This window comes from Homo sapiens, chromosome 2 (genome assembly GCF_000001405.40).
Source record: "Homo sapiens chromosome 2, GRCh38.p14 Primary Assembly".
NCBI classification, from domain to species: domain Eukaryota; kingdom Metazoa; phylum Chordata; class Mammalia; order Primates; family Hominidae; genus Homo; species Homo sapiens.
In genome coordinates, this window is record NC_000002.12 from 126,974,013 (window position 1) to 126,983,371 (window position 9,359).

A 9,359-nucleotide genomic window follows, 5' to 3' on the forward strand; every position below is an offset into this window, starting at 1 on the left:
TTGGCAGAAAGTCCCTGAGGACACAGACCCTTGGCTCCAGTTGACTGAGACATTTGTGTTCAGTCTCCCTTGACCAGACCCAAGAGAGGAAGAAGGTGGCAGATGGAGTGGCTGGCTCAGCATCCAACCGCCTGGGAACCCCCACCAGGGAGGAAAGGATTCACCTAGGGAATGGCTGGACCTCATATGACAGAGGGGGACACCTTGACAACTGAGTTTCACCCCAGACACCATCATCAGGGCAGCAGCCAACAAGGCCCAGCAGCAAAGGGCCCAATCCTCTGTCCACAGTGGGTGTCTATCGCCCCAGTGCTGGGGTCAGGGGTGAGAAGTAGGGGGCAGGTTTCTTCACAGTCCTAGGGAATAGCTGTGTGTGCTCTCTGCTCTCAGCTTTCAGAAGCTCAAGCTCCAGCCTCAGCATCAAAAAAACACACAGAACCTCAGAGCCACACACCTTGAAGACCATCCCATCTAGTCACAGGTTTTTAACTGGATGATTTCAGAGTCTGTGAACCCTTAAACCCAAACGAAATGAGGCTAAGTGGGGATTTTTCTGAGCAGAGTCCGTAGCTTTCATCATGTACAAGGTGGTTCATGATGCAGGAACTGTCCAGACCCCCAAAAACCCTCCTTCTCAGGTGGAAAGTTTAAGGGGCTGGGAGGGAAAGGGGCCTGTCCACGGTCACACAACACATTGGACCACAGGGCCAACCCTGGATCCCAGGCAGCCTGGCCCCACGAGGGTGCAGAAACCCTCCACAGCCCCCACAGACTCCACAGCCCTGGTCTCGGGAGGTAAGAGGACTGGCCACTGAAGCGGGAGGAGGGGTGGAGGGGAAGGGAGACGGGCAGTACATGACCATGGACGCCTCCGTGAGGAAGCAGCTTCCTGCTGGAAATGAAACTGGCCCAATGGTCCTATGGGCCTGATATGTACAGGTTTTTTGAATAAACATAGAAATTGACCCTCCCTGGTCTTACAACTTGAAACTTAGTAATGCCAGAACTCTGGGAGGCCGAGGCAGGCAGATCGCCTGAGGTCAGAAGTTTGAGACCATCCTGGCCAACATGGTGAAACCCTGTCTGTACTAAAAATACAAAAATTAGCCGGGCGTGGTGGCGCACCTGTAGTCCCAGCTACTCAAGAGTCTGAGGCAGGAGAATCACTTGAACTCGGGAGGCAGAGGTTGCTGTGAGCCAAGATCGCGCCACTGCACTCCAGCCTGGCAACAGAGCAAGAATCTGTCTCAAAAAAAAAAAAAAAAAGAATTGTCTTACTTGACTTCCTTCCTGGGAAACCAACCCTCAGGCAAGGGACTGAAACTCACCAGATCATAACATCCACCCCTCATTCATTGTGATTTCTTCCTTACCCTCCTAAGTCCTGTTTCCCCACCTTCCCTGCTATTAAAAACCCCAATAGTAGTAGGTCGAGGAGATGGATTTGAAACTGAATTCCCGTTCTCTTGGCTGGTGTCCCCAAATAAAAAGCCTCCTTCCCTAGCGATACTCATCTCTGGCGAGCAACGGGACCCAGACCAAACCCCTAGTGTTTTTGGTAACAGAAAGAGCGCTTTGAATACTATAAACTTCAACAAATGTAGGGAGCAGTAAATGAAGAGAAAATTGCCTTGGTCAAAAACATAAGGAAGTTGTGCATAAAAACAGTAGAAAAAATGTTCCCCAAGACTCCTTAAAGATTTAATGTATTTAGAGCCAGTTTTACAAACATAATAATTACAGAGTAAAAAAAATATGTTCTTTTGGGTCAGATATGCAATGGAAAAAGGGTAAGAAAAGGGATTATAGAAAGCATTTAGATTTCATGCACATTGAGCAATAGACCAAAAAGTAGAGTTTGGAAGGTGCCCAAGTTTCAGGATTTAAATTCTGCCCTCTGTTATTCACTATATGGAAGAACTTTCATCATTGAATGGTTCAACCATGTACATCTTTTACATAACTTCCTAAGTTAGTGGGTGATCAGTAAAATTGCCCAAGCAAGAAAGAGCCCAAGACAAAAAAAAAAGAAAAAATAGGAACCCCAGCCTTCAAGAAAACAGTGCTGCTGTGTCTACCCTGAGTGCAGCAGGGCAGCAGCTTCAGTGGAGGCCAGGCAGGGCCTCCAGAGCGGGAGCCTAGGTGTCCCTCCACGAGTCCCCAGGGCGGCTGTGGTCAGCCCTCCCCCTGGCCTCCTGAGGTCACTCTCAGGGAACAGGTTCTGGCCTAGTATCTCCCAGCTGCTCCACCTCCTGGGATTGGAAGGTGGCCTGGATCTGTCTGGTCATTAACGCGTGTTTAGGTAGCAAAACAATGTAAAGTGTATGTTTTTTAAGACTGCAAATGTTGGAGTCTCCTCTGCAGGCTCCCCAGGCACAGTGGCCAGCCCTTTCGGGCCCCAGCCAGCTTTTTAGCTAGTTTCGCAGAGCCCAACCTCAGCTGAAATTCTGAGAGAACAGGACCTCGCTGTGGGAGGCGGAGCCCGGGGGGCCAAGCCCACACCTCTGCCCTCCTTTCTTCCAGCTTTTCTTTTAGACTGGACGGCCTGGTAGGGAGCATCCCAGAGCATGAGGGCTCTGCCAGCAGAAGGCATTTGAATTTAATTCTGGTGAAAGGCCCAGGGGCCAGCGTCCCTGTGTCTGTGTAGCACCCCAGGACTCTTGGAGGCCCGGTAGGCCCACCCAGCAGGGACACAAGCCCCAGAGAGTCCCCAGAGAGGCCGAGATGTGAAGACCCCTGGGACTGCTCGACGGGAGGCGAGAAGAGACCTCACAGCCAGAAGAGGGGGAGCTGCCCCTGCTGGCCCTGCCCTGCCCGACTCACGCAGCGAGGTGCCGCATCAGACTGAAATGTAATTAGAGTGTAATGCAAGCCAGGACGCGCGGAGACTCTTAATTGAAAATTCCATTTCCAGCCCCATCACGGCTCACAGCGCCGATGCTATCAGAGATAGACGCGGCCAGCACCCGCAGCTCAGCCCCACACACCCCACCCAGCCAGCACCACCCCGCCACTGCCCCCCACTTCGTGCTGCAGGGCCTGCGCCAGGCCACGTCAGGGACATTTCTCGGGGGAGGCCGAGAGGGGCGTGTTGAAGAGGGGTCTTAGCTGAGACTGCCCTGAGTCTCCACCGCTCCCCCGGGTCACCTGCCTCCCAGGCTCTGCAGTCACGTGGGGCACCTGAGCTGGGGAAACACACACGGGGTGGGGGAACACGCTGAGCCAAGCCTGGCCCCTCCACACACATTCTCCTCCCCATGCATCCTCTCGGGTGCTTTATGGTTTTCAAATGTGCATTCTACAGGTGACAGAACAGCGGCTCTGAAGCTCACACCTCGCCCACCCTGTCACCCAGCTGCGGCTCGAGTGCAGGAACAGTCACTTTCAAAGCAGGCGTTCTTGTGACTGCTGATGCCGCCCAGGCCGCGTCTTCTGTAGGGCACACTTCTTGGGGCAGGGTGGGGGCACCGCCTGCAATGGGCAGCTCCCCAGCCACCGCGATTGATCCAGAAGACGCCAGAAGCAAACAGGGCAACGCAAAGCTCCCTCACTCAAACAGGACTTTTGAAAGGACAGATGCAGAAGCTGGGAGTCGCTGCAGCAGTGGTCTGGGTTCCACCACCACCGCCACTGACACCGAGGACTTGGCCCTCCTGCCTTCCTTTGCTGCTGTGGAACACTCCATCAGCCTTCCAACAGATGTGGGGACCCGGGAAGGTTTGCAGGGTGGTGTTTGTTCATTTGGTTGCCTCACTTAGAGTGGGTTTTCGTTGCTTGCAACCATAGAACTTTAGATAATTAAATCTAAAGAGGTCTGAAAAGGTGTAGAGGCCGAGGCCTTTGTCATTCCAGCTCCATCCCGTGGCTCAGAACTTATCCTTGCATCTCCGATGCTCCCCCCACTCAGGTTCCACTACTCAGACTCGTGCCCTGGCCGTTCCCCTGCATAAGCACCCTCCCCACCCCAAACCCCACCTTTCCACCAATCAAAGAAATTCTACCCGTCCTCCAAAGACTCCCTTCAACCACCTCAGCATACTATGGTCTGCTGCAATACAACAATCCAAAATAATAACCAAACCCAGCATGTGGCTTCATACTGCTGTTTACCTGGCTAATAAGGCCTTTGATCATAGAAATTGCAGTCTCTTGTCACTGCACACACAGATGGTCTAGCACAGGCTGGGAACAGAGCAGATCTACTGATCTGCTTGAGAACGGTCCTGGTGGAGATGGCTATGTCCTGACCAAGAACCTGTTTCGCTTCACATCTCCGCTCCACAGCCCAGACTCCCATGCATGGAGGCTTGCAACCAAAGATCTTTAGGTAATTAAGTTCTGTAGGGCTGTGCTCTAACCCATGGAAAGTGAGCCAGCCCACAGCTCTTGAGAAGCAGCTGTGCCCACCCACACCTTCTTTCCCTTCCCTTTGGCTAGTTGCAGACAACAAGGAGGCCCTAGGTGATGGTAGGGGCTAAATTCTAAATCATTGTATGATGGAAAGTCTCCAGCAACTAAGAACACCTGCTTTAAACAATTACATAAGTGAGAAATAGACTTCTATTATGTCTGAGTCATTTGACATTTTGTGGTCCTTTTGTCAGAGCGATCAGTACTACCCACCTCCTGCAGATGCTGATCGCAATGATGCAGGAGCTGGCGATGGGGTCTGTAGCAGAGACATTTGTGAAGACAGCCACAATAGTTATGGGGCCGTGGTCATGGTAAGTGTGGCAGGAATGGTGGCAGGAATGGTGGGTGGCCACCTTAGTAATGATGCGGCCAGTATTGTTAATGACTGTGAGGTTAACTACAGTGATAGTGATACAGCTGAAAAATACTTTCCCTGTTACCACAGAAATGGCAACTAGACCCAAAGCTGCAGAAAAGAATCACTAAGTTGTCCCTATTCGAAATAGGGTTACCAACATTTTGGGGGCAGGCACTCCCTCAGAGACCAGTAAGTGTTGGGAGAACAGGTCTCTGAGCCCTGCCCTGATGGAAGAGCACCCACCAGTCTATGTAAGCAGAGGGCTGGGAGGTGATAGGTTCCTCCTTCCCGGCTTCCCCACCCAAAGCCAAGATTGGAAGGCGGTGGGGGGATGGCCTAGATGTCCTGAAACAAGGAAGGCTGCATCTCATTCTCCCGTTGAACACCTGCCCTGAGATGTGGGGTGGCCCTGCTGGTTCCTCCAGAGAGCTCATAGTCCCTCAGTGTGGGATTCTTGTGCATCCCATAGAGAACCAAGGTGTGGACATCTGCCAAACAGGGCATCTGTGTCCATTAGTACAGTGACAGCCACTCAAGAGGGGACTGCAATAGCAGCTGGTTAAGTAAAAATTTAGACATGTGTGTCACCCTACTCCTTCCTCACTCTCAACATGGGGGTGGACAGGACTTCCAGAGGGGAGGGAAGGGGTGTAAGACTACGCCTCCTCCCCTTCAATAAGTCACAGGCTGAGACTACACTTGGGAGGAGGGAGGAGAGGATATTTCATTTGCATGAGAGTGGGGTTTTAAATCAGATGGATTTGCACCAACAGAAAAGACCACATCATATTGTAATGAAAATTGTCAATGATATTCTCAAGGGATGGGAAGGGGAGTATGTACAGAGCCCAGGTAAGGCATTTACAGGGGAAATGGAGCCTTTTGTTAAAGTAATGCCCCACCAATTTGAGAGTTAATAGACTGGTTACATCAGGAACAGGAATAATGGTGGTGATTCATTAATTTTTTTCACAAAATGTGCACTGTGAGGCTGCCAAGTTGCAGGCCATGAGCTGCTGGGAACAATGCTGGCAGTGGCCACCATGGTGGAAATGGCAATAGTTCTGGATGCTGGGGGCGGGGCAGTCTCCGCTCCCTCAGCCCCTACAGCAGCCTGGGCCCCCTCCCACTCTCAACTGGAATGTCTGTTAGGATACTGGTGCTCACTGTAATCGAGACTCAATTTCACAAAGATTAAGCAAGATTGAAGTTTTTTTCTCACCCATGAAAACATCCAGGGAGTTGGGGCTGACGAGGCAGCTTCCCTCACCAATGGCCCAGTTTCCATCTACCATGCGTTGCCATCCTCAACATGTGGCTTCATCTCAAGCACAGCCCGCACCATCAGGCCCACCTCCAGCCAGGCACCAGCACAAGGGAAGAACAAGATGCACTTCCCTTGATGGGCTTGGCCAGAAATTGCAGGTGTCATTTCCAGTCACATCCCATTGGCTGGAACTTTGTTGCGTGGCCATACCCACTACAAGGGAGACTTGGAATGTCCATGCCATCTTTAGCTGGGTGGCCGTGTAGCCAACTAAAAACTCCATCACTGTGTAAGGAGAAATGGATACTGGAAAATAACTAGTGGCCTTGGCCACATGGCAGTGTCTCCATTTGCCAAAGTAATCTTTTAAAAAATATTAAAATCTTTCCATTCCCTATGGCGGCCCATGAGGCCCTGTAAGATCTGGTACCTGCCCTTGCTTAAACCCCACCTTGTACCTTGTTCTGCCTTACTCATTGTTCTCCAGCCACACTGGTAGAGTCTTGAGAGCCCCATGATATCTAATTCCTTGCCATCCTGGGGACTTGGGACTTGCTGTCCTCTGGCAAACAATGCCTTCCCCCCAATCTTCCTCACCTTGCAGGCTCAGATTGGCTTGAGCCCCTTAAACAGGCCTTCCTGGATAGATCCCCAACCACCCATCCAGTTACTCTCTATTGAGTCACTTTATGTCTTTGTTTCTGGGGACTTATCAGCACCAGTAATATCTTGTTTATTTATTAGTTCTCTTACTGCACTTCTCCCCACTAAAATGTAAGCTCCGTGAGGGCAAGACCCTCCTTGTCTCGTATGTTCACTGTAGAGCCTCTGCACTTAGCCTAGGTAAAGTCTCAATAAGCATTTGCTAAATAACACTAAGGTGTTCTGAGACTGCCTCCTTCCTTTCCAAGGGGACACTGTGGCTTCATATTTATTCTCCGTCATGTACAAAGACAGTTAAGTAGGTAATTTGGCCCTCAAGAAGACCCCCAAATCTACCTACCCAACCAGCCACTTGATTGAGAATGCCTGGCCCACCCCATCAGGGTGTCTGATTCTCAATCAAAACACCACACAGAGTGAGAGAGAAAAAATTGCATGTGGCTCATGACAGGTTTCCCATCACAGAAATCAGATCACCAGTAAGCATGGCCCAGTGACTGCCTCAGACTCTCCCCTTGGGGAGGAGTTCATAAAAAAGTAAGAGCACGAAGAGAGGAGGTCTGCTGTGAAGAGGTTTAGGAGTGCACTCCCTAAGGCTAGAGATTTGTGTAGATTAGGAAAGATGAAAACTAAGGCCGGAAATGAAGTAGGGAGTTACCTGCCCCTAGAAAGCCATTGGCCTTGGTTGTGGAAGTCAGAGCTGCTGGTCTCAGCCCCACCCTCAGTCACCACATGAACAAGGATAAGTCATGCCACCTTGCTGGGCAGCTGCCTCTCCATATGTTTAATAAGAGTTGCTACATTATCTCTTGGGTCCCTTGAAGTCCTGGTAGTCCCCGGGAAGAAAGGGTTTTCTTCATTAGCACCAAAGCCCACCAAGCTCTGCACTGAACAGGGTTCCCCTCCAAGTGCCTCCTGTCTCCATCACTACATGGCCCCTCTTGTAAACACATTGCTGTTTGCTGCGCCTCTGAGTCAGCAAACATTGGCAAAGGAATCTGAAGAGGGTTCACTTGACAGTCCAGCAAGCTGGTGTCTGAAGCAGCTGGGCGTGGCTTTTTTCCATCTGTGGATCCTTTGCCATAGGAAGGCAAACTTACTAGCACCCCGTCCCGTGCAGCATGCAGGCAAGGGGCCACAAACTGCTGGCTCAATAGCGAGGAAGTTTCTAACAGGTTTGGAAATCTTTTATATCAACATCCCTTATGGGTGCTGAGTGGCCCTGGAGTAGCATCTTTTCTGGCTTAGAGGAAAACAAAACTCCAAACTATTTATAAGGGTATCTACAGAAGAAAAAGAGAGAGAGAGAGAGAAATTCCACCATGAGTGGGGGACAAAAATGTTGAGTATTTATTTTACCCCCATCCCTAAACTAGATGCTATGAGGAGTGAGGTCCAGGTTGGAGTGACAGTTTTAAGCTAATGTCTTCCCACCTCCTAAGTTCCAGGAAATAGCGGGACAGCGCAGGATGGGAAGGGGCCTGGGAGGATGACATATAGGTCAGTTTGTTTTAGAACTGTAAAAAATGAAAAAATTTCTAGAAAAAACATGACACAAGAAAGTAGAAAATCTGAATAGTTTTATAATGATTTTAAAAGTTAAAACTATAAATCAAACAAAAAACTTCCCACAAGCAAAGCATCAGGCTAAGATGGTTAGCCCAGAAATCTGTAGCAAACATTTAAAGAAGAAATAAAGCCGATATTACACACAGCCTTCCAGAGACACAAAAAAGGAGACGTCACCTTAGTCATTGAGGCTATTTAACATGCAAAATCAATTTATATCATTCCTCACATAAACGGAATAAAGGAGAAAAATCATATGAGTATTTCAAGAGATGCCGAAATGATGCATGTAAATACATTTCGAGGCCTGTTTATAATAAAGCCCTCAGCAAACTTAGAATGAAAGGGAACTTCCTGAATCTGATAGAGTACAGTTTACATCACACTTAACAGTGACAAAATGATCATTTTCTCCCTGCAGTCAGGAAGAACACAAAGATGGCCACTCTCACTGCTGCTGTTCTACATTATACTGGAGGTCTTAGCCAGGCAAAGAAAAAGAAGTCAAAGGCATAAAGTCAGGAAAGGAAGAAATAACACTCCTTATTTACAAGTGGTGTGAGTATATGTGCTGACAATACCAAGGGAAAAAAACAATAGTTGAATTTTGCAGGAACACAGGACACATACTCGATAATAAAAATAAATTGTATTTCTATACACTAGCAACAGACAATTGAAATGAAATTGAAGAGATAACACCATTTACAATACCATCAAAAAATATCAAAGATAAAGGAAGTCATCCACGCTGGAGTCAGCTCATGCCAGTTCATGAGAGTCAACTGAGCATACTTGTGTTGGTTTTCTACTGCAGCATAACACCACGTACTTTGTGGCTTAAAACAACACTGATTCATAACACATTCTGTAGGTCAGAGTCCAGCGGGACGTAGTTGGTTTCTCTGCTCAGGGTATCACAAGGCTGCCATCAAGGTGTTGGTTGAGTTCTCATCTGCAAGCCTTGGAGAAAAATCCACTGTCAACCTCATTTTATCGTTGGCAGAAATCAGTTCCTTGCAGCAGTAGGACTGAAGTCTCCAGTTCCTTGCAGGCCACATTCAGGAGGCCATTCTCAGCTCCTCAATG